This window comes from Homo sapiens, chromosome 8 (genome assembly GCF_000001405.40).
Source record: "Homo sapiens chromosome 8, GRCh38.p14 Primary Assembly".
Lineage (NCBI taxonomy): Eukaryota > Metazoa > Chordata > Mammalia > Primates > Hominidae > Homo > Homo sapiens.
Window position 1 is genome coordinate 7,729,000 of NC_000008.11, and position 24,158 is coordinate 7,753,157.

Here is a 24,158-nt window from a genome sequence, read left to right on the forward strand (position 1 = left end):
AGTCGCAAGACGAGCTGAAAAAGGAGCCAGGCACTGAAGGACAAAGCGTTGTTGACTTTCCTCATCTGTGTTTCCCAGTGCGGTCCAATTCACGGTGGTTTCCAAGCGCCTCCTGGGGGAGAAAACACATGAGGGTGCGGTCAGGGTTCTCTGCTGACAGACTTACCTTGGGGAAGAAAGAGAAGCTCTGAAGATGGATCATGGCCTTGACTGCATGTCAAGCAGAGTCTCCTTGATGACACTGAGGCCTACGTCGAGATAGACAAAATGTGGTCCAATTAAAAGGTGTCTATTTTACCACATTTTTTAAAACAAAACAAAACAAAACAACAGAAAAGATGGAAAAGAAGACAGGGGTACAGGCACCAGTGTTACATGTCTGACGGGGAACATCTATTGTTCAAAGCTTGCAGCTGTACAAGTAGGTTTTAGAATGTCTGTCAGCAGTGGACATGATCTTAGAGTGGGCTGTGCAGATAGACCTTTCCAGGTCATGTAATTGGATTAAGTTAATTGCAATTAAGGTACAGGTAACTGATTAGGTTAGGGTACGTTCCATGTCAGGTGACCAGAGGCAGTATAAAAGGCAGCCTGGAAAGCAGAGGTCCCTCTCCGCCCCTTCCTCCGTCGTCCTGGATGCTGCATCGCTTCCAGCGGGGCTGCTGCAGCACCTGCCCATCTCAGCGCCAGCCTGGGAAAGAAAGTAGACGTGTAATTTCAGGTTAGTTTCGCTGAACAATTGTTTGTTTCACGCAATCCCTGAGTGGTTTTGGCGGGGAGGGGCGGGGGGAGGAAGAGACAAAGGAGTCCGAAAGAAACCGATCACACTGGGGCTTGCTGGTGGGGTAGGATGTGTTCTCGTTACTAGTAATTCTTGGAACAGAAAACGAGACAACATATCCGTCTCCACGTGTGGGAGAAGACCAAGATGGGAATGCGAAAAGAAATGTACTGCAGCATGCTGAGTTGGTGGGTAAATGGAAAAAGGACTTTGGAAAAAAGGGGGGTTTGCCCTTCAGCCGTGTAAGACGTCGATACGATACGGCACTTCTTCCCCGTTTGTTCAGATGAATTCGTGTGGTATGCGTAAAATACCAGGAAAATAAATAAAGAGGGGCTGGAGCTAAAGCCAAAAGATAGAACAGGAAAGATCATCACCTGCTAGTGCGGTAGAGAGGAAGGTAACTTCTCTGTATGAATTTGTGTTTGGAAGTTGCCTAATGAAATGGCAAGAGTAGCGATTCAAGTTATCACAGGAAGCATCCCTTATCCGTGACTTCAAGCAGACCTGCCAAAGGGTGGCACACGCCATGCCCTGTGTCTTCGATCATTCTGTCCGTCAAGGGAGATAGAATCACCGTGTCTTCTACCGGAGTGAACCGTGAGAGACCTAAGTCCAGTCTCCAGAATCAGTTGTTTGTTTGGGGTTGAAAGCTCAACCCCCCATACCTAGGCCACGGGCCCTGTGGCAGGTGGGGTTTACTCTTGGACTAGGTAGTCATGGCAGAGGAACACACAATATCCGAGGATGCGCACAGCACATTGTGTTCTACAGATTTGACCCACTGGTGGTGAGGTCTCCTCATGACCACACAGGCAGGGAGTTAGCAGGTGGCTTCCTGTGGGTGTGTGAATATCCAACGTGCTTAACCATCGACATGTGTGTGTTTGTGTGTGTTTCAGGTGGCCCAACAGTCCACCCCTGAAAAAGGCGGTCATAAAACCCCCAGGAGACGAAGATGATGGCACGTCGGGACCCCAAATCTTGGGCCAAGAGACTGGTGAGAGCCCAGACCCTCCAGAAGCAGCGGAGGGCCCCAGTTGGGCCAAGGGCTCCCCCGCCCGATGAAGAAGATCCCAGGGTAAGTCTAGCCCTGGATCTCTTGGGTATCGGGGTGGGGGTGGGGACGGGGGGAGGGGGTGTCCCACGGTCCTCAGAGACTGGGTTGGATTCCAAAGAGTTCTGTCACCACCAGCCAGGTTGCTTTTCCCATCCAAGGTGGGCGTGGCTTGGGACCTTCTCCCCGGCCCGATAGGTCCCTTGAGAGACTCTTGGGGGCAACCTCCCTTTCTACTTAGAGTCCTGTGTAGCCACGTTTGGCTGCGTTGTTGACATCGGCTTCACCATCGTGCCCCTTGGAACCTTGAGTCCTTCCTTTCAGAGTTCCTCCGTCCCATGGGCTTTGCGAGGGAACATCGTACCCGAACTCTCCCGGCACTTAACGGCCCCCATGCCGGTGTCCCCTCTTTGGAATCCTTATTCAGCTCTGAATTCACAATCCGTCCCAATGTTGACGTGGGATCGCTGCCTGTGGCTTCAGCTCACTCACTGACATCACTTCCTTTCCACCCACAGCTCAAGTGCAAAAACTGCGGGGCCTTTGGCCACACGGCCAGAAGTACCAGGTGCCCCATGAAGTGCTGGAAGGCAGCCCTGGTTCCAGCGACCTTGGGGAAAAAGGAAGGGAAGGAAAACCTGAAACCATGGAAGCCCCGGGTTGAAGCCAACCCGGGGCCCTTGAACAAGGATAAGGGAGAGAAGGAAGAGAGACCAAGGTGAGCAGTGGGAGGGGTTTTCACCACTCTTAGGATGCTGCCTCCTAAGGACATGGTGTCTCTGCACCTGCACACCGTGTGCCTTTCCGTCTCCGGGCCAGGGAAGGAGCGCTGCAGAGAAATAGGCCGGAGCTCCGTGTCCTCCGGGGTTCCACACCCAGGAGCTCCTTGGGCTCTGGGAGATTCAGGGACGGGGAGAGGCGGGGGCGCTTCGTGCAGGTTCCCCACGACAGGGGGAAAAGCGATGGAATCCAAATCACAGTCCTTAGTTCGGAAGCCTAGAGGGCCACCTGGAGGATGGGAAGGTTGGCACGTGAGGGAAGGTGCAGAGGCGGAAAGGGCACCAGATGTCCATTTCTGTATCACAAAACACGGAATGGGGCTGGGCCCCAGACGGGGCTCTCCCTGTCTCCTGGGGAAAACCAGGGGGCACGGCCTGACCTTTTTCTGTTCTGCAGGCAACAAGACCCGCAGAGGAAGGCTCTCCTCCACATGTTTTCCGGGAAACCTCCAGAGAAGCCGCTGCCGAATGGAAAAGGATCCACGGAGTCTTCTGATCATCTGAGGGTGAGTGTCACCCCGGGCCCCTGGTCCTTTTCTCCTCTAGGTCACCCTGGTTGATTTCCTTTCAGCTTCCCGTCTGCGGGAGGAAATCGGGGAACCCCTCTTTCTTGCCTTCTTGGGGTCAGGGACTCCACGATCCTTCCAGGTCAATTGGATTCCAGGCGAAGGCATCTGAAGATGCCGTATTTCCTGTGGCTTTCTTTCTGTCCAATTATGGCAAGCCTGCCAACAACACGTTCCTAGCGGCATGAGGAAATTAGTCCCTCAGAGGCCCCAAACGTGGAGAAGGCGAAACCCAGGAACATGCATGTGTTCAGAGAAGACGTCCCGAGTACCCTTGAGCCAGCAACCTGCCTCGGGAAGGGCATTAGTCCGTTCCACTTCATGGAAGGCTGAGTGGAGGCGCTTTGATCCAGTTAATGCCCAAGACGCGATCTTTTGAACAATGGTGTGCTTAGATCAGCTACACATAGCTCGAGAGCGCATCTTTCATGTGTCTTGTCCTGATCAGCACTCAGGTGGAGGGTCTGTCCCTACTTCCAAGGACCGCCTGTCGATACTGTACTAAGAATTTCATGGCGTGTGCACCTTGTCTTTGGATGTGCTTGATTTTCACGTTGGCTCCATGCTGAGGAACTTCTAACCTGTGTTGTTTCCTCTCTTTCAGGTTGCAAGCGGGCCAATGCCGGTCCACACAACCAGTAAGAGGCCGCGCGTGGACCCTGTCCTCGCTGATCGCTCAGCTGCCGAAATGTCTGGCAGGGGCTCCGTCTTGGCTTCACTGTCTCCCCTCAGAAAAGCCAGCCTGAGCTCCTCCTCAAGTCTTGGACCAAAGGAAAGACAGACAGGGGCTGCGGCCGACATCCCTCAGCCTGCAGTCAGGCACCAGGGCCGCGAGCCTCTCCTCGTGGTGAAGCCGACACACAGCCGCCCCGAGGGTGGCTGCCGAGAAGTTCCCCAGGCTGCCTCCAAAACCCACGGCCTGCTCCAGGCCGCCAGACCCCAGGCACAAGACAAACGTCCTGCGGTGACCTCGCAGCCCTGCCCGCCAGCCGCCACACACAGCTTGGGCCTAGGCTCCAATCTCAGCTTCGGGCCAGGAGCCAAGAGACCTGCCCAGGCTCCGATTCAGGCTTGCCTGAACTTCCCCAAGAAACCGAGACTGGGTCCCTTCCAGATCCCCGAAAGCGCCATCCAGGGAGGTGAGCTGGGGGCCCCGGAGAATCTCCAACCTCCGCCAGCCGCAACCGAACTTGGACCAAGTACGTCGCCCCAGATGGGCAGGAGGACACCGGCCCAGGTGCCCAGCGTCGACCGGCAGCCTCCGCACAGCACACCTTGCCTGCCTACTGCCCAGGCCTGCACCATGTCCCATCACTCAGCGGCCAGCCATGATGGGGCCCAGCCTCTCAGAGTGCTCTTCCGGAGACTGGAAAACGGACGCTGGAGCTCCAGCCTCCTGGCGGCCCCCTCATTTCACTCTCCTGAGAAGCCGGGAGCCTTCCTCGCTCAGAGCCCTCATGTGTCAGAGAAGTCTGAGGCTCCCTGTGTTCGTGTCCCACCGAGCGTCCTCTATGAGGACCTTCAGGTTTCCTCCTCCTCAGAGGACAGCGATTCTGACCTGGAGTGAGACTGCAGGTGGCAGGGGCTCCTTGGCCTCCAGCTCCCGTGACTTGGAGGGGACTGTGGGACTGAGGAGCGCAGAGCAGAGAGCACACTCTGTGCGGTGACTCCGAAGCTCCCCGGCTGTGGCGCTTCTGTGGATGTGGGAGCCCAGGCCAGGCAGGGAGCAGATGCAGGGACTCTGCCTCATTGAATTCTGGTGAGGGACGTTGTAGTTGGCGTGGTTCTCCGGAAACGCGCCAGGAAAAGCTTCCGTGCCAGAGATTCGTTGCCTCAGAAACTGCGTGACGCGCAGGAGTCAGACTTCCGCTGGGACGTCAATAGGAAACTGGGGAATTACTGTGTATTTGCTCTCTAGATGACTGAATAAGGGAAAAGTTAGGGAACCCTGAGAGGTGCAGCCCTTCCGCTGTGCCCCGCCCTGAGAGCAGTGTTTCGGACGCTGGGAAGCGTGCTGTGCGAAGCGCTCTCGGGGTCTTTCCTCAGCCTCGAAAACTGGGCTCTGGAATGCCTTTGTACATATGTGTGTTTAATGGGTTTTGAAGTGAATAAAATTCTCAAAAAGATGACATATTGTCTTTTGACTCTCATTCCGTGTTTGTGTGTAACTGATTTTCCAAGTGAAGGGGTGGCCTGCCCCTCCACACCTGTGGGTGTTTCTAGTCGGGTGGGATGAGAGACGGAGAAAAGAAATAAGACACAGAGACAAAGTATAGGGAGACAACAGTGGGTCCAGGGGACCGGCACTCAGCACACCTAGGACCTGCACCGGCACCGGCCTCTGAGTTCCCTCAGTTTTTATTGATTATGATTTTCATTATTTCAGCACAAAGGAATGCAGTAGGGGAGCAGGGTGATAATAAGGGGAAGGTCAAAACAACAACAAAAAACAAACACGTGAGCAAAAGAATCCATATCATTATTAAGTTCAAGGGAAGGTACTATGCCTGGACGTGCACGTAGGCCAGATTTATGTTTCTCTCCACACAAATATCTCAGCGGAGTAAAGAATAACAAGGCAGCATTACTGCCAGCATGTCTCGCCTCCCGCCACAGGGCAGCTTTTCGCCGAGCTCAGAGTTGAACAAATGTACGATCGGGCTTTACACCGAGACATTCAGTTCCCAGGGGCAAGCAGGAGACAGTGGCCTTCCTCCATCTGAACTGCAAGAGGCGTTCCTCTTTGACTAATCCACCTCAGCACAGACCCATTGCGGGTGTCAGGCTGGGGGACAGTCCGGTCTTTTCCATCCCACGAGGCCATATTTCAGACTGTCACATGGGGAGAAACCTTGGACAATACCCTGCTTTCAAGGGCAGAGGTCCCTGTGGCTTTCCACGGTGCATTGCACCCCTGGTTTATTGAGACTAGGGAATGGCAATGACTCCTACCAAGGATACTGCTCGTAAACATTTGGTAAACAAGGCGCGTCCTGCACAGCCCTAGATCCCTTAAACCTCGATTTTATACAACACAGGTTTTTGTGAGCTCCAAGTTGGGTCAAAGGAAGGGGCTGCGGGAAAGCTACAAATGATCAACATCTCAGCAAAGCAATTGTTTAAACTACAGGTCTTTTTCAAAATGGAGTCTCTTATGTCTTCCCCTTCTACATAGACACAGTGACAGTCTGATCTCTCTTTCTTTACCCTACATCCAAGGGCTTGAACATTTCTTGACTTGTTGGCAATCCAAATCGTTACGTCTCCGAAACAGAGTTGACTGAGGGGACCGCAGGGCTGGGCAGGACCTTTGACTTCCTATACATCCACAGGAGCAAGAAAACCTCAGCCCCACTCTACCAACACGCACCTAGTAAAATTCCGCCAACCGAATCTCACGCACGCTAACACGTGGGGAGCGTTGCTTGCACCACGAGTCCCCATTTGGCTCAACCGCCGATGCCAAGTGTGTGGTTCCAGTTGCGACGGCCCCCCGTGAAGTGGCTTCCGGATGTGCGAAGGAACCAGGCAGAGTTTCACTGGCCAAATAGACCCCAGCAAAGCTGAAGTTAACTCCCACATTTGGGATGTACTTCAGAGGTAAAACATTCATCCCGTCTTCTTTCCGGATGTCTGACACCATGGTTCTCCCCCTGATCCTAAGAGTAGCTGAGGCAGAGACTCACTGAAAGATCTAGGCGGGGATATCCCATCATGCACAGGCTCTCTCCATTCTCTGACCTGGGAACAACTCTCAGCAGGATTCCACATCTAGGAGGCCTCGGAACTCAGCGGGATTTTCTGAGACACACCAACTGGCTGCTCCCTCTCCGCCGCTGTTGAGGGTCGTTATCTTGATTATCCAGATCAACTAGAAAGTATCCGTATCCAGAATGAATAAGATCAACTCTCTGCTCCTCTGACAGCAGAAGGAGCAGGACCATAAGGAACCAAAGAGCGTGGAAGGAAACGATGTGACAGGAAAGCTCAGAGAACGGCCACAGGGGGTCGTCAGCAGGCCTTCGAACCTGAATCATGAATAATTAATGAAGCGCAAATCAAAGGGGACTCGAGTTTCAGCAGGAGCAATCCATCCAACGGGAGATCGCCGGAGGGCCAACAAGATTGAGAGACTGGGAGCCGGGTGCAGTGTCAAAGGGGACGCGACTGGTTCCAAAGCTCGAGAAGACCATGGGGTCACTTGGGCTACATGAGAAAACGCCCCAGTGTGCTGGTTCATCATTCCGACTCCTGCCTGTCTCTTCCCGTCCAAGGAACATGGACCCTAAGTCGTGCAGGTGCGGATGACCATGGGCAGAATTAGGGGCCGTGGCACAAAAGTTCACCGACACGGGAGTTCCACAGAAGGTGCGGTGGATCTTCGCAAATCCAGAGACATGGCAATGGGACCCAGGGAATTACAGCCTCACAGGCGTCCGGGAGACTTTTCAGGCATAATGCCTGGAGTCGCAAGACGAGCTGAAAAAGGAGCCAGGCACTGAAGGACAAAGCGTTGTTGACTTTCCTCATCTGTGTTTCCCAGTGCGGTCCAATTCACGGTGGTTTCCAAGCGCCTCCTGGGGGAGAAAACACATGAGGGTGCGGTCAGGGTTCTCTGCTGACAGACTTACCTTGGGGAAGAAAGAGAAGCTCTGAAGATGGATCATGGCCTTGACTGCATGTCAAGCAGAGTCTCCTTGATGACACTGAGGCCTACGTCGAGATAGACAAAATGTGGTCCAATTAAAAGGTGTCTATTTTACCACATTTTTTAAAACAAAACAAAACAAAACAACAGAAAAGATGGAAAAGAAGACAGGGGTACAGGCACCAGTGTTACATGTCTGACGGGGAACATCTATTGTTCAAAGCTTGCAGCTGTACAAGTAGGTTTTAGAATGTCTGTCAGCAGTGGACATGATCTTAGAGTGGGCTGTGCAGATAGACCTTTCCAGGTCATGTAATTGGATTAAGTTAATTGCAATTAAGGTACAGGTAACTGATTAGGTTAGGGTACGTTCCATGTCAGGTGACCAGAGGCAGTATAAAAGGCAGCCTGGAAAGCAGAGGTCCCTCTCCGCCCCTTCCTCCGTCGTCCTGGATGCTGCATCGCTTCCAGCGGGGCTGCTGCAGCACCTGCCCATCTCAGCGCCAGCCTGGGAAAGAAAGTAGACGTGTAATTTCAGGTTAGTTTCGCTGAACAATTGTTTGTTTCACGCAATCCCTGAGTGGTTTTGGCGGGGAGGGGCGGGGGGAGGAAGAGACAAAGGAGTCCGAAAGAAACCGATCACACTGGGGCTTGCTGGTGGGGTAGGATGTGTTCTCGTTACTAGTAATTCTTGGAACAGAAAACGAGACAACATATCCGTCTCCACGTGTGGGAGAAGACCAAGATGGGAATGCGAAAAGAAATGTACTGCAGCATGCTGAGTTGGTGGGTAAATGGAAAAAGGACTTTGGAAAAAAGGGGGGTTTGCCCTTCAGCCGTGTAAGACGTCGATACGATACGGCACTTCTTCCCCGTTTGTTCAGATGAATTCGTGTGGTATGCGTAAAATACCAGGAAAATAAATAAAGAGGGGCTGGAGCTAAAGCCAAAAGATAGAACAGGAAAGATCATCACCTGCTAGTGCGGTAGAGAGGAAGGTAACTTCTCTGTATGAATTTGTGTTTGGAAGTTGCCTAATGAAATGGCAAGAGTAGCGATTCAAGTTATCACAGGAAGCATCCCTTATCCGTGACTTCAAGCAGACCTGCCAAAGGGTGGCACACGCCATGCCCTGTGTCTTCGATCATTCTGTCCGTCAAGGGAGATAGAATCACCGTGTCTTCTACCGGAGTGAACCGTGAGAGACCTAAGTCCAGTCTCCAGAATCAGTTGTTTGTTTGGGGTTGAAAGCTCAACCCCCCATACCTAGGCCACGGGCCCTGTGGCAGGTGGGGTTTACTCTTGGACTAGGTAGTCATGGCAGAGGAACACACAATATCCGAGGATGCGCACAGCACATTGTGTTCTACAGATTTGACCCACTGGTGGTGAGGTCTCCTCATGACCACACAGGCAGGGAGTTAGCAGGTGGCTTCCTGTGGGTGTGTGAATATCCAACGTGCTTAACCATCGACATGTGTGTGTTTGTGTGTGTTTCAGGTGGCCCAACAGTCCACCCCTGAAAAAGGCGGTCATAAAACCCCCAGGAGACGAAGATGATGGCACGTCGGGACCCCAAATCTTGGGCCAAGAGACTGGTGAGAGCCCAGACCCTCCAGAAGCAGCGGAGGGCCCCAGTTGGGCCAAGCGCTCCCCCGCCCGATGAAGAAGATCCCAGGGTAAGTCTAGCCCTGGATCTCTTGGGTATCGGGGTGGGGGTGGGGACGGGGGGAGGGGGTGTCCCACGGTCCTCAGAGACTGGGTTGGATTCCAAAGAGTTCTGTCACCACCAGCCAGGTTGCTTTTCCCATCCAAGGTGGGCGTGGCTTGGGACCTTCTCCCCGGCCCGATAGGTCCCTTGAGAGACTCTTGGGGGCAACCTCCCTTTCTACTTAGAGTCCTGTGTAGCCACGTTTGGCTGCGTTGTTGACATCGGCTTCACCATCGTGCCCCTTGGAACCTTGAGTCCTTCCTTTCAGAGTTCCTCCGTCCCATGGGCTTTGCGAGGGAACATCGTACCCGAACTCTCCCGGCACTTAACGGCCCCCATGCCGGTGTCCCCTCTTTGGAATCCTTATTCAGCTCTGAATTCACAATCCGTCCCAATGTTGACGTGGGATCGCTGCCTGTGGCTTCAGCTCACTCACTGACATCACTTCCTTTCCACCCACAGCTCAAGTGCAAAAACTGCGGGGCCTTTGGCCACACGGCCAGAAGTACCAGGTGCCCCATGAAGTGCTGGAAGGCAGCCCTGGTTCCAGCGACCTTGGGGAAAAAGGAAGGGAAGGAAAACCTGAAACCATGGAAGCCCCGGGGTGAAGCCAACCCGGGGCCCTTGAACAAGGATAAGGGAGAGAAGGAAGAGAGACCAAGGTGAGCAGTGGGAGGGGTTTTCACCACTCTTAGGGTGCTGCCTCCTAAGGACATGGTGTCTCTGCACCTGCACACCGTGTGCCTTTCCGTCTCCGGGCCAGGGAAGGAGCGCTGCAGAGAAATAGGCCGGAGCTCCGTGTCCTCCGGGGTTCCACACCCAGGAGCTCCTTGGGCTCTGGGAGATTCAGGGACGGGGAGAGGCGGGGGCGCTTCGTGCAGGTTCCCCACGACAGGGGGAAAAGCGATGGAATCCAAATCACAGTCCTTAGTTCGGAAGCCTAGAGGGCCACCTGGAGGATGGGAAGGTTGGCACGTGAGGGAAGGTGCAGAGGCGGAAAGGGCACCAGATGTCCATTTCTGTATCACAAAACACGGAATGGGGCTGGGCCCCAGACGGGGTCTCCCTGTCTCCTGGGGAAAACCAGGGGGCACGGCCTGACCTTTTTCTGTTCTGCAGGCAACAAGACCCGCAGAGGAAGGCTCTCCTCCACATGTTTTCCGGGAAACCTCCAGAGAAGCCGCTGCCGAATGGAAAAGGATCCACGGAGTCTTCTGATCATCTGAGGGTGAGTGTCACCCCGGGCCCCTGGTCCTTTTCTCCTCTAGGTCACCCTGGTTGATTTCCTTTCAGCTTCCCGTCTGCGGGAGGAAATCGGGGAACCCCTCTTTCTTGCCTTCTTGGGGTCAGGGACTCCACGATCCTTCCAGGTCAATTGGATTCCAGGCGAAGGCATCTGAAGATGCCGTATTTCCTGTGGCTTTCTTTCTGTCCAATTATGGCAAGCCTGCCAACAACACGTTCCTAGCGGCATGAGGAAATTAGTCCCTCAGAGGCCCCAAACGTGGAGAAGGCGAAACCCAGGAACATGCATGTGTTCAGAGAAGACGTCCCGAGTACCCTTGAGCCAGCAACCTGCCTCGGGAAGGGCATTAGTCCGTTCCACTTCATGGAAGGCTGAGTGGAGGCGCTTTGATCCAGTTAATGCCCAAGACGCGATCTTTTGAACAATGGTGTGCTTAGATCAGCTACACATAGCTCGAGAGCGCATCTTTCATGTGTCTTGTCCTGATCAGCACTCAGGTGGAGGGTCTGTCCCTACTTCCAAGGACCGCCTGTCGATACTGTACTAAGAATTTCATGGCGTGTGCACCTTGTCTTTGGATGTGCTTGATTTTCACGTTGGCTCCATGCTGAGGAACTTCTAACCTGTGTTGTTTCCTCTCTTTCAGGTTGCAAGCGGGCCAATGCCGGTCCACACAACCAGTAAGAGGCCGCGCGTGGACCCTGTCCTCGCTGATCGCTCAGCTGCCGAAATGTCTGGCAGGGGCTCCGTCTTGGCTTCACTGTCTCCCCTCAGAAAAGCCAGCCTGAGCTCCTCCTCAAGTCTTGGACCAAAGGAAAGACAGACAGGGGCTGCGGCCGACATCCCTCAGCCTGCAGTCAGGCACCAGGGCCGCGAGCCTCTCCTCGTGGTGAAGCCGACACACAGCCGCCCCGAGGGTGGCTGCCGAGAAGTTCCCCAGGCTGCCTCCAAAACCCACGGCCTGCTCCAGGCCGCCAGACCCCAGGCACAAGACAAACGTCCTGCGGTGACCTCGCAGCCCTGCCCGCCAGCCGCCACACACAGCTTGGGCCTAGGCTCCAATCTCAGCTTCGGGCCAGGAGCCAAGAGACCTGCCCAGGCTCCGATTCAGGCTTGCCTGAACTTCCCCAAGAAACCGAGACTGGGTCCCTTCCAGATCCCCGAAAGCGCCATCCAGGGAGGTGAGCTGGGGGCCCCGGAGAATCTCCAACCTCCGCCAGCCGCAACCGAACTTGGACCAAGTACGTCGCCCCAGATGGGCAGGAGGACACCGGCCCAGGTGCCCAGCATCGACCGGCAGCCTCCGCACAGCACACCTTGCCTGCCTACTGCCCAGGCCTGCACCATGTCCCATCACTCAGCGGCCAGCCATGATGGGGCCCAGCCTCTCAGAGTGCTCTTCCGGAGACTGGAAAACGGACGCTGGAGCTCCAGCCTCCTGGCGGCCCCCTCATTTCACTCTCCTGAGAAGCCGGGAGCCTTCCTCGCTCAGAGCCCTCATGTGTCAGAGAAGTCTGAGGCTCCCTGTGTTCGTGTCCCACCGAGCGTCCTCTATGAGGACCTTCAGGTTTCCTCCTCCTCAGAGGACAGCGATTCTGACCTGGAGTGAGACTGCAGGTGGCAGGGGCTCCTTGGCCTCCAGCTCCCGTGACTTGGAGGGGACTGTGGGACTGAGGAGCGCAGAGCAGAGAGCACACTCTGTGCGGTGACTCCGAAGCTCCCCGGCTGTGGCGCTTCTGTGGATGTGGGAGCCCAGGCCAGGCAGGGAGCAGATGCAGGGACTCTGCCTCATTGAATTCTGGTGAGGGACGTTGTAGTTGGCGTGGTTCTCCGGAAACGCGCCAGGAAAAGCTTCCGTGCCAGAGATTCGTTGCCTCAGAAACTGCGTGACGCGCAGGAGTCAGACTTCCGCTGGGACGTCAATAGGAAACTGGGGAATTACTGTGTATTTGCTCTCTAGATGACTGAATAAGGGAAAAGTTAGGGAACCCTGAGAGGTGCAGCCCTTCCGCTGTGCCCCGCCCTGAGAGCAGAGTTTCGGACGCTGGGAAGCGTGCTGTGCGAAGCGCTCTCGGGGTCTTTCCTCAGCCTCGAAAACTGGGCTCTGGAATGCCTTTGTACATATGTGTGTTTAATGTGTTTTGAAGTGAATAAAATTCTCAAAAAGATGACATATTGTCTTTTGACTCTCATTCCGTGTTTGTGTGTAACTGATTTTCCAAGTGAAGGGGTGGCCTGCCCCTCCACACCTGTGGGTGTTTCTAGTCGGGTGGGATGAGAGACGGAGAAAAGAAATAAGACACAGAGACAAAGTATAGGGAGACAACAGTGGGTCCAGGGGACCGGCACTCAGCACACCTAGGACCTGCACCGGCACCGGCCTCTGAGTTCCCTCAGTTTTTATTGATTATGATTTTCATTATTTCAGCACAAAGGAATGCAGTAGGGGAGCAGGGTGATAATAAGGGGAAGGTCAAAACAACAACAAAAAACAAACACGTGAGCAAAAGAATCCATATCATTATTAAGTTCAAGGGAAGGTACTATGCCTGGACGTGCACGTAGGCCAGATTTATGTTTCTCTCCACACAAATATCTCAGCGGAGTAAAGAATAACAAGGCAGCATTACTGCCAGCATGTCTCGCCTCCCGCCACAGGGCAGCTTTTCGCCGAGCTCAGAGTTGAACAAATGTACGATCGGGCTTTACACCGAGACATTCAGTTCCCAGGGGCAAGCAGGAGACAGTGGCCTTCCTCCATCTGAACTGCAAGAGGCGTTCCTCTTTGACTAATCCACCTCAGCACAGACCCATTGCGGGTGTCAGGCTGGGGGACAGTCCGGTCTTTTCCATCCCACGAGGCCATATTTCAGACTGTCACATGGGGAGAAACCTTGGACAATACCCTGCTTTCAAGGGCAGAGGTCCCTGTGGCTTTCCACGGTGCATTGCACCCCTGGTTTATTGAGACTAGGGAATGGCAATGACTCCTACCAAGGATACTGCTCGTAAACATTTGGTAAACAAGGCGCGTCCTGCACAGCCCTAGATCCCTTAAACCTCGATTTTATACAACACAGGTTTTTGTGAGCTCCAAGTTGGGTCAAAGGAAGGGGCTGCGGGAAAGCTACAAATGATCAACATCTCAGCAAAGCAATTGTTTAAACTACAGGTCTTTTTCAAAATGGAGTCTCTTATGTCTTCCCCTTCTACATAGACACAGTGACAGTCTGATCTCTCTTTCTTTACCCTACATCCAAGGGCTTGAACATTTCTTGACTTGTTGGCAATCCAAATCGTTACGTCTCCGAAACAGAGTTGACTGAGGGGACCGCAGGGCTGGGCAGGACCTTTGACTTCCTATACATCCACAGGAGCAAGAAAACCTCAGCCCCACTCTACCAACACGCACCTAGTAAAATTCCGCCAACCGAATCTCACGCACGCTAACACGTGGGGAGCGTTGCTTGCACCACGAGTCCCCATTTGGCTCAACCGCCGATGCCAAGTGTGTGGTTCCAGTTGCGACGGCCCCCCGTGAAGTGGCTTCCGGATGTGCGAAGGAACCAGGCAGAGTTTCACTGGCCAAATAGACCCCAGCAAAGCTGAAGTTAACTCCCACATTTGGGATGTACTTCAGAGGTAAAACATTCATCCCGTCTTCTTTCCGGATGTCTGACACCATGGTTCTCCCCCTGATCCTAAGAGTAGCTGAGGCAGAGACTCACTGAAAGATCTAGGCGGGGATATCCCATCATGCACAGGCTCTCTCCATTCTCTGACCTGGGAACAACTCTCAGCAGGATTCCACATCTAGGAGGCCTCGGAACTCAGCGGGATTTTCTGAGACACACCAACTGGCTGCTCCCTCTCCGCCGCTGTTGAGGGTCGTTATCTTGATTATCCAGATCACCTAGAAAGTATCCGTATCCAGAATGAATAAGATCAACTCTCTGCTCCTCTGACAGCAGAAGGAGCAGGACCATAAGGAACCAAAGAGCGTGGAAGGAAACGATGTGACAGGAAAGCTCAGAGAACGGCCACAGGGGGTCGTCAGCAGGCCTTCGAACCTGAATCATGAATAATTAATGAAGCGCAAATCAAAGGGGACTCGAGTTTCAGCAGGAGCAATCCATCCAACGGGAGATCGCCGGAGGGCCAACAAGATTGAGAGACTGGGAGCCGGGTGCAGTGTCAAAGGGGACGCGACTGGTTCCAAAGCTCGAGAAGACCATGGGGTCACTTGGGCTACATGAGAAAACGCCCCAGTGTGCTGGTTCATCATTCCGACTCCTGCCTGTCTCTTCCCGTCCAAGGAACATGGACCCTAAGTCGTGCAGGTGCGGATGACCATGGGCAGAATTAGGGGCCGTGGCACAAAAGTTCACCGACACGGGAGTTCCACAGAAGGTGCGGTGGATCTTCGCAAATCCAGAGACATGGCAATGGGACCCAGGGAATTACAGCCTCACAGGCGTCCGGGAGACTTTTCAGGCATAATGCCTGGAGTCGCAAGACGAGCTGAAAAAGGAGCCAGGCACTGAAGGACAAAGCGTTGTTGACTTTCCTCATCTGTGTTTCCCAGTGCGGTCCAATTCACGGTGGTTTCCAAGCGCCTCCTGGGGGAGAAAACACATGAGGGTGCGGTCAGGGTTCTCTGCTGACAGACTTACCTTGGGGAAGAAAGAGAAGCTCTGAAGATGGATCATGGCCGTGACTGCATGTCAAGCAGAGTCTCCTTGATGACACTGAGGCCTACGTCGAGATAGACAAAATGTGGTCCAATTAAAAGGTGTCTATTTTACCACATTTTTTAAAACAAAACAAAACAAAACAACAGAAAAGATGGAAAAGAAGACAGGGGTACAGGCACCAGTGTTACATGTCTGACGGGGAACATCTATTGTTCAAAGCTTGCAGCTGTACAAGTAGGTTTTAGAATGTCTGTCAGCAGTGGACATGATCTTAGAGTGGGCTGTGCAGATAGACCTTTCCAGGTCATGTAATTGGATTAAGTTAATTGCAATTAAGGTACAGGTAACTGATTAGGTTAGGGTACGTTCCATGTCAGGTGACCAGAGGCAGTATAAAAGGCAGCCTGGAAAGCAGAGGTCCCTCTCCGCCCCTTCCTCCGTCGTCCTGGATGCTGCATCGCTTCCAGCGGGGCTGCTGCAGCACCTGCCCATCTCAGCGCCAGCCTGGGAAAGAAAGTAGACGTGTAATTTCAGGTTAGTTTCGCTGAACAATTGTTTGTTTCACGCAATCCCTGAGTGGTTTTGGCGGGGAGGGGCGGGGGGAGGAATATACAAAGGAGTCCGAAAGAAACCGATCACACTGGGGCTTGCTGGTGGGGTAAGATGTGTTCTCGTTACTAGTAATTCTTGGAACAGAAAACGAGACAACATATCCGTCTCCACGTGTGGGAGAAGACCAAGATGGGAATGCGAAAAGAAATGTACTGCAGCATGCTGAGTTGGTGGGTAAATGGAAAAAGGACTTTGGAAAAAAGGGGGGTTTGCCCTTCAGCCGTGTAAGACGTCGATACGATACGGCACTTCTTCCCCGTTTGTTCAGATGAATTCGTGTGGTATGCGTAAAATACCAGGAAAATAAATAAAGAGGGGCTGGAGCTAAAGCCAAAAGATAGAACAGGAAAGATCATCACCTGCTAGTGCGGTAGAGAGGAAGGTAACTTCTCTGTATGAATTTGTGTTTGGAAGTTGCCTAATGAAATGGCAAGAGTAGCGATTCAAGTTATCACAGGAAGCATCCCTTATCCGTGACTTCAAGCAGACCTGCCAAAGGGTGGCACACGCCATGCCCTGTGTCTTCGATCATTCTGTCCGTCAAGGGAGATAGAATCACCGTGTCTTCTACCGGAGTGAACCGTGAGAGACCTAAGTCCAGTCTCCAGAATCAGTTGTTTGTTTGGGGTTGAAAGCTCAACCCCCCATACCTAGGCCACGGGCCCTGTGGCAGGTGGGGTTTACTCTTGGACTAGGTAGTCATGGCAGAGGAACACACAATATCCGAGGATGCGCACAGCACATTGTGTTCTACAGATTTGACCCACTGGTGGTGAGGTCTCCTCATGACCACACAGGCAGGGAGTTAGCAGGTGGCTTCCTGTGGGTGTGTGAATATCCAACGTGCTTAACCATCGACATGTGTGTGTTTGTGTGTGTTTCAGGTGGCCCAACAGTCCACCCCTGAAAAAGGCGGTCATAAAACCCCCAGGAGACGAAGATGATGGCACGTCGGGACCCCAAATCTTGGGCCAAGAGACTGGTGAGAGCCCAGACCCTCCAGAAGCAGCGGAGGGCCCCAGTTGGGCCAAGGGCTCCCCCGCCCGATGAAGAAGATCCCAGGGTAAGTCTAGCCCTGGATCTCTTGGGTATCGGGGTGGGGGTGGGGACGGGGGGAGGGGGTGTCCCACGGTCCTCAGAGACTGGGTTGGATTCCAAAGAGTTCTGTCACCACCAGCCAGGTTGCTTTTCCCATCCAAGGTGGGCGTGGCTTGGGACCTTCTCCCCGGCCCGATAGGTCCCTTGAGAGACTCTTGGGGGCAACCTCCCTTTCTACTTAGAGTCCTGTGTAGCCACGTTTGGCTGCGTTGTTGACATCGGCTTCACCATCGTGCCCCTTGGAACCTTGAGTCCTTCCTTTCAGAGTTCCTCCGTCCCATGGGCTTTGCGAGGGAACATCGTACCCGAACTCTCCCGGCACTTAACGGCCCCCATGCCGGTGTCCCCTCTTTGGAATCCTTATTCAGCTCTGAATTCACAATCCGTCCCAATGTTGACGTGGGATCGCTGCCTGTGGCTTCAGCTCACTCACTGACATCACTTCCTTTCCACCCACAGCTCAAGTGCAAAAACTGCGGGGCCTTTGGCCACACGGCCAGAAGTACCAGGTGCCCCATGAAGTGCTGGAAGGCAGCCCTGGTTCCAGCGACCTTGGGGAAAAAGGAAGGGAAGGAAAACCTGAAACCATGGAAGCCCCGGGTTGAAGCCAACCCGGGGCCCTTGAACAAGGATAAGGGAGAGAAGGAAGAGAGACCAAGGTGAGCAGTGGGAGGGGTTTTCACCACTCTTAGGATGCTGCCTCCTAAGGACATGGTGTCTCTGCACCTGCACACCGTGTGCCTTTCCGTCTCCGGGCCAGGGAAGGAGCGCTGCAGAGAAATAGGCCGGAGCTCCGTGTCCTCCGGGGTTCCACACCCAGGAGCTCCTTGGGCTCTGGGAGATTCAGGGACGGGGAGAGGCGGGGGCGCTTCGTGCAGGTTCCCCACGACAGGGGGAAAAGCGATGGAATCCAAATCACAGTCCTTAGTTCGGAAGCCTAGAGGGCCACCTGGAGGATGGGAAGGTTGGCACGTGAGGGAAGGTGCAGAGGCGGAAAGGGCACCAGATGTCCATTTCTGTATCACAAAACACGGAATGGGGCTGGGCCCCAGACGGGGCTCTCCCTGTCTCCTGGGGAAAACCAGGGGGCACGGCCTGACCTTTTTCTGTTCTGCAGGCAACAAGACCCGCAGAGGAAGGCTCTCCTCCACATGTTTTCCGGGAAACCTCCAGAGAAGCCGCTGCCGAATGGAAAAGGATCCACGGAGTCTTCTGATCATCTGAGGGTGAGTGTCACCCCGGGCCCCTGGTCCTTTTCTCCTCTAGGTCACCCTGGTTGATTTCCTTTCAGCTTCCCGTCTGCGGGAGGAAATCGGGGAACCCCTCTTTCTTGCCTTCTTGGGGTCAGGGACTCCACGATCCTTCCAGGTCAATTGGATTCCAGGCGAAGGCATCTGAAGATGCCGTATTTCCTGTGGCTTTCTTTCTGTCCAATTATGGCAAGCCTGCCAACAACACGTTCCTAGCGGCATGAGGAAATTAGTCCCTCAGAGGCCCCAAACGTGGAGAAGGCGAAACCCAGGAACATGCATGTGTTCAGAGAAGACGTCCCGAGTACCCTTGAGCCAGCAACCTGCCTCGGGAAGGGCATTAGTCCGTTCCACTTCATGGAAGGCTGAGTGGAGGCGCTTTGATCCAGTTAATGCCCAAGACGCGATCTTTTGAACAATGGTGTGCTTAGATCAGCTACACATAGCTCGAGAGCGCATCTTTCATGTGTCTTGTCCTGATCAGCACTCAGGTGGAGGGTCTGTCCCTACTTCCAAGGACCGCCTGTCGATACTGTACTAAGAATTTCATGGCGTGTGCACCTTGTCTTTGGATGTGCTTGATTTTCACGTTGGCTCCATGCTGAGGAACTTCTAACCTGTGTTGTTTCCTCTCTTTCAGGTTGCAAGCGGGCCAATGCCGGTCCACACAACCAGTAAGAGGCCGCGCGTGGACCCTGTCCTCGCTGATCGCTCAGCTGCCGAAATGTCTGGCAGGGGCTCCGTCTTGGCTTCACTGTCTCCCCTCAGAAAAGCCAGCCTGAGCTCCTCCTCAAGTCTTGGACCAAAGGAAAGACAGACAGGGGCTGCGGCCGACATCCCTCAGCCTGCAGTCAGGCACCAGGGCCGCGAGCCTCTCCTCGTGGTGAAGCCGACACACAGCCGCCCCGAGGGTGGCTGCCGAGAAGTTCCCCAGGCTGCCTCCAAAACCCACGGCCTGCTCCAGGCCGCCAGACCCCAGGCACAAGACAAACGTCCTGCGGTGACCTCGCAGCCCTGCCCGCCAGCCGCCACACACAGCTTGGGCCTAGGCTCCAATCTCAGCTTCGGGCCAGGAGCCAAGAGACCTGCCCAGGCTCCGATTCAGGCTTGCCTGAACTTCCCCAAGAAACCGAGACTGGGTCCCTTCCAGATCCCCGAAAGCGCCATCCAGGGAGGTGAGCTGGGGGCCCCGGAGAATCTCCAACCTCCGCCAGCCGCAACCGAACTTGGACCAAGTACGTCGCCCCAGATGGGCAGGAGGACACCGGCCCAGGTGCCCAGCGTCGACCGGCAGCCTCCGCACAGCACACCTTGCCTGCCTACTGCCCAGGCCTGCACCATGTCCCATCACTCAGCGGCCAGCCATGATGGGGCCCAGCCTCTCAGAGTGCTCTTCCGGAGACTGGAAAACGGACGCTGGAGCTCCAGCCTCCTGGCGGCCCCCTCATTTCACTCTCCTGAGAAGCCGGGAGCCTTCCTCGCTCAGAGCCCTCATGTGTCAGAGAAGTCTGAGGCTCCCTGTGTTCGTGTCCCACCGAGCGTCCTCTATGAGGACCTTCAGGTTTCCTCCTCCTCAGAGGACAGCGATTCTGACCTGGAGTGAGACTGCAGGTGGCAGGGGCTCCTTGGCCTCCAGCTCCCGTGACTTGGAGGGGACTGTGGGACTGAGGAGCGCAGAGCAGAGAGCACACTCTGTGCGGTGACTCCGAAGCTCCCCGGCTGTGGCGCTTCTGTGGATGTGGGAGCCCAGGCCAGGCAGGGAGCAGATGCAGGGACTCTGCCTCATTGAATTCTGGTGAGGGACGTTGTAGTTGGCGTGGTTCTCCGGAAACGCGCCAGGAAAAGCTTCCGTGCCAGAGATTCGTTGCCTCAGAAACTGCGTGACGCGCAGGAGTCAGACTTCCGCTGGGACGTCAATAGGAAACTGGGGAATTACTGTGTATTTGCTCTCTAGATGACTGAATAAGGGAAAAGTTAGGGAACCCTGAGAGGTGCAGCCCTTCCGCTGTGCCCCGCCCTGAGAGCAGTGTTTCGGACGCTGGGAAGCGTGCTGTGCGAAGCGCTCTCGGGGTCTTTCCTCAGCCTCGAAAACTGGGCTCTGGAATGCCTTTGTACATATGTGTGTTTAATGGGTTTTGAAGTGAATAAAATTCTCAAAAAGATGACATATTGTCTTTTGACTCTCATTCCGTGTTTGTGTGTAACTGATTTTCCAAGTGAAGGGGTGGCCTGCCCCTCCACACCTGTGGGTGTTTCTAGTCGGGTGGGATGAGAGACGGAGAAAAGAAATAAGACACAGAGACAAAGTATAGGGAGACAACAGTGGGTCCAGGGGACCGGCACTCAGCACACCTAGGACCTGCACCGGCACCGGCCTCTGAGTTCCCTCAGTTTTTATTGATTATGATTTTCATTATTTCAGCACAAAGGAATGCAGTAGGGGAGCAGGGTGATAATAAGGGGAAGGTCAAAACAACAACAAAAAACAAACACGTGAGCAAAAGAATCCATATCATTATTAAGTTCAAGGGAAGGTACTATGCCTGGACGTGCACGTAGGCCAGATTTATGTTTCTCTCCACACAAATATCTCAGCGGAGTAAAGAATAACAAGGCAGCATTACTGCCAGCATGTCTCGCCTCCCGCCACAGGGCAGCTTTTCGCCGAGCTCAGAGTTGAACAAATGTACGATCGGGCTTTACACCGAGACATTCAGTTCCCAGGGGCAAGCAGGAGACAGTGGCCTTCCTCCATCTGAACTGCAAGAGGCGTTCCTCTTTGACTAATCCACCTCAGCACAGACCCATTGCGGGTGTCAGGCTGGGGGACAGTCCGGTCTTTTCCATCCCACGAGGCCATATTTCAGACTGTCACATGGGGAGAAACCTTGGACAATACCCTGCTTTCAAGGGCAGAGGTCCCTGTGGCTTTCCACGGTGCATTGCACCCCTGGTTTATTGAGACTAGGGAATGGCAATGACTCCTACCAAGGATACTGCTCGTAAACATTTGGTAAACAAGGCGCGTCCTGCACAGCCCTAGATCCCTTAAACCTCGATTTTATACAACACAGGTTTTTGTGAGCTCCAAGTTGGGTCAAAGGAAGGGGCTGCGGGAAAGCTACAAATGATCAACATCTCAGCAAAGCAATTGTTTAAACTACAGGTCTTTTTCAAAATGGAGTCTCTTATGTCTTCCCCTTCTACATAGACACAGTGACAGTCTGATCTCTCTTTCTTTACCCTACATCCAAGGGCTTGAACATTTCTTGACTTGTTGGCAATCCAAATCGTTACGTCTCCGAAACAGAGTTGACTGAGGGGACCGCAGGGCTGGGCAGGACCTTTGACTTCCTATACATCCACAGGAGCAAGAAAACCTCAGCCCCACTCTACCAACACGCACCTAGTAAAATTCCGCCAACCGAATCTCACGCACGCTAACACGTGGGGAGCGTTGCTTGCACCACGAGTCCCCATTTGGCTCAACCGCCGATGCCAAGTGTGTGGTTCCAGTTGCGACGGCCCCCCGTGAAGTGGCTTCCGGATGTGCGAAGGAACCAGGCAGAGTTTCACTGGCCAAATAGACCCCAGCAAAGCTGAAGTTAACTCCCACATTTGGGATGTACTTCAGAGGTAAAACATTCATCCCGTCTTCTTTCCGGATGTCTGACACCATGGTTCTCCCCCTGATCCTAAGAGTAGCTGAGGCAGAGACTCACTGAAAGATCTAGGCGGGGATATCCCATCATGCACAGGCTCTCTCCATTCTCTGACCTGGGAACAACTCTCAGCAGGATTCCACATCTAGGAGGCCTCGGAACTCAGCGGGATTTTCTGAGACACACCAACTGGCTGCTCCCTCTCCGCCGCTGTTGAGGGTCGTTATCTTGATTATCCAGATCAACTAGAAAGTATCCGTATCCAGAATGAATAAGATCAACTCTCTGCTCCTCTGACAGCAGAAGGAGCAGGACCATAAGGAACCAAAGAGCGTGGAAGGAAACGATGTGACAGGAAAGCTCAGAGAACGGCCACAGGGGGTCGTCAGCAGGCCTTCGAACCTGAATCATGAATAATTAATGAAGCGCAAATCAAAGGGGACTCGAGTTTCAGCAGGAGCAATCCATCCAACGGGAGATCGCCGGAGGGCCAACAAGATTGAGAGACTGGGAGCCGGGTGCAGTGTCAAAGGGGACGCGACTGGTTCCAAAGCTCGAGAAGACCATGGGGTCACTTGGGCTACATGAGAAAACGCCCCAGTGTGCTGGTTCATCATTCCGACTCCTGCCTGTCTCTTCCCGTCCAAGGAACATGGACCCTAAGTCGTGCAGGTGCGGATGACCATGGGCAGAATTAGGGGCCGTGGCACAAAAGTTCACCGACACGGGAGTTCCACAGAAGGTGCGGTGGATCTTCGCAAATCCAGAGACATGGCAATGGGACCCAGGGAATTACAGCCTCACAGGCGTCCGGGAGACTTTTCAGGCATAATGCCTGGAGTCGCAAGACGAGCTGAAAAAGGAGCCAGGCACTGAAGGACAAAGCGTTGTTGACTTTCCTCATCTGTGTTTCCCAGTGCGGTCCAATTCACGGTGGTTTCCAAGCGCCTCCTGGGGGAGAAAACACATGAGGGTGCGGTCAGGGTTCTCTGCTGACAGACTTACCTTGGGGAAGAAAGAGAAGCTCTGAAGATGGATCATGGCCGTGACTGCATGTCAAGCAGAGTCTCCTTGATGACACTGAGGCCTACGTCGAGATAGACAAAATGTGGTCCAATTAAAAGGTGTCTATTTTACCACATTTTTTAAAACAAAACAAAACAAAACAACAGAAAAGATGGAAAAGAAGACAGGGGTACAGGCACCAGTGTTACATGTCTGACGGGGAACATCTATTGTTCAAAGCTTGCAGCTGTACAAGTAGGTTTTAGAATGTCTGTCAGCAGTGGACATGATCTTAGAGTGGGCTGTGCAGATAGACCTTTCCAGGTCATGTAATTGGATTAAGTTAATTGCAATTAAGGTACAGGTAACTGATTAGGTTAGGGTACGTTCCATGTCAGGTGACCAGAGGCAGTATAAAAGGCAGCCTGGAAAGCAGAGGTCCCTCTCCGCCCCTTCCTCCGTCGTCCTGGATGCTGCATCGCTTCCAGCGGGGCTGCTGCAGCACCTGCCCATCTCAGCGCCAGCCTGGGAAAGAAAGTAGACGTGTAATTTCAGGTTAGTTTCGCTGAACAATTGTTTGTTTCACGCAATCCCTGAGTGGTTTTGGCGGGGAGGGGCGGGGGGAGGAAGAGACAAAGGAGGCCGAAAGAAACCGATCACACTGGGGCTTGCTGGTGGGGTAGGATGTGTTCTCGTTACTAGTAATTCTTGGAACAGAAAACGAGACAACATATCCGTCTCCACGTGTGGGAGAAGACCAAGATGGGAATGCGAAAAGAAATGTACTGCAGCATGCTGAGTTGGTGGGTAAATGGAAAAAGGACTTTGGAAAAAAGGGGGGTTTGCCCTTCAGCCGTGTAAGACGTCGATACGATACGGCACTTCTTCCCCGTTTGTTCAGATGAATTCGTGTGGTATGCGTAAAATACCAGGAAAATAAATAAAGAGGGGCTGGAGCTAAAGCCAAAAGATAGAACAGGAAAGATCATCACCTGCTAGTGCGGTAGAGAGGAAGGTAACTTCTCTGTATGAATTTGTGTTTGGAAGTT

General features: G+C 53.7%; 3 protein-coding genes and 1 pseudogene across 3 annotated transcripts; all 4 read left to right on the forward strand.

Annotated features, from left to right (window-relative positions):
- The window catches only part of LOC124901865 (translation initiation factor IF-2-like), a 451,468-nt pseudogene that overhangs the window by 115,276 nt on the left and 312,034 nt on the right, over positions 1-24,158 (forward strand).
- On the forward strand, positions 1,740-4,750 carry FAM90A16 (family with sequence similarity 90 member A16). The gene is made up of 4 exons (NM_001397396.1): positions 1,740-1,862; positions 2,357-2,556; positions 3,015-3,123; positions 3,788-4,750. Exons 1-4 carry the CDS (start codon positions 1,740-1,742, stop codon positions 4,748-4,750), a joined length of 1,395 nt encoding a protein of 464 aa, NP_001384325.1.
- On the forward strand, positions 9,388-12,397 carry FAM90A8 (family with sequence similarity 90 member A8). The gene is made up of 4 exons (NM_001164450.1): positions 9,388-9,510; positions 10,005-10,204; positions 10,662-10,770; positions 11,435-12,397. Exons 1-4 carry the CDS (start codon positions 9,388-9,390, stop codon positions 12,395-12,397), a joined length of 1,395 nt encoding a protein of 464 aa, NP_001157922.1.
- FAM90A17 (family with sequence similarity 90 member A17) lies at positions 17,035-20,045 on the forward strand. The gene is made up of 4 exons (NM_001397391.1): positions 17,035-17,157; positions 17,652-17,851; positions 18,310-18,418; positions 19,083-20,045. Exons 1-4 carry the CDS (start codon positions 17,035-17,037, stop codon positions 20,043-20,045), a joined length of 1,395 nt encoding a protein of 464 aa, NP_001384320.1.

Excerpts from the sequence above, each read along its gene's own strand:
- FAM90A16 (NM_001397396.1), top strand. The coding sequence starts at position 1,740 with ATGATGGCACGTCGGGACCCCAAATCTTGGGCCAAGAGACTGGTGAGA. Across the intron at positions 1,863-2,356 it reads CCGATGAAGAAGATCCCAGG|CTCAAGTGCAAAAACTGCGG; the intron begins GTAAGTCTAGCC and ends TTCCACCCACAG. Across the intron at positions 2,557-3,014 it reads GAGAAGGAAGAGAGACCAAG|GCAACAAGACCCGCAGAGGA; the intron begins GTGAGCAGTGGG and ends TCTGTTCTGCAG.
- FAM90A17 (NM_001397391.1), top strand. The coding sequence starts at position 17,035 with ATGATGGCACGTCGGGACCCCAAATCTTGGGCCAAGAGACTGGTGAGA. Across the intron at positions 17,852-18,309 it reads GAGAAGGAAGAGAGACCAAG|GCAACAAGACCCGCAGAGGA; the intron begins GTGAGCAGTGGG and ends TCTGTTCTGCAG. Across the intron at positions 18,419-19,082 it reads AGTCTTCTGATCATCTGAGG|GTTGCAAGCGGGCCAATGCC; the intron begins GTGAGTGTCACC and ends CCTCTCTTTCAG.
- FAM90A8 (NM_001164450.1), top strand. The coding sequence starts at position 9,388 with ATGATGGCACGTCGGGACCCCAAATCTTGGGCCAAGAGACTGGTGAGA. Across the intron at positions 10,205-10,661 it reads GAGAAGGAAGAGAGACCAAG|GCAACAAGACCCGCAGAGGA; the intron begins GTGAGCAGTGGG and ends TCTGTTCTGCAG. Across the intron at positions 10,771-11,434 it reads AGTCTTCTGATCATCTGAGG|GTTGCAAGCGGGCCAATGCC; the intron begins GTGAGTGTCACC and ends CCTCTCTTTCAG.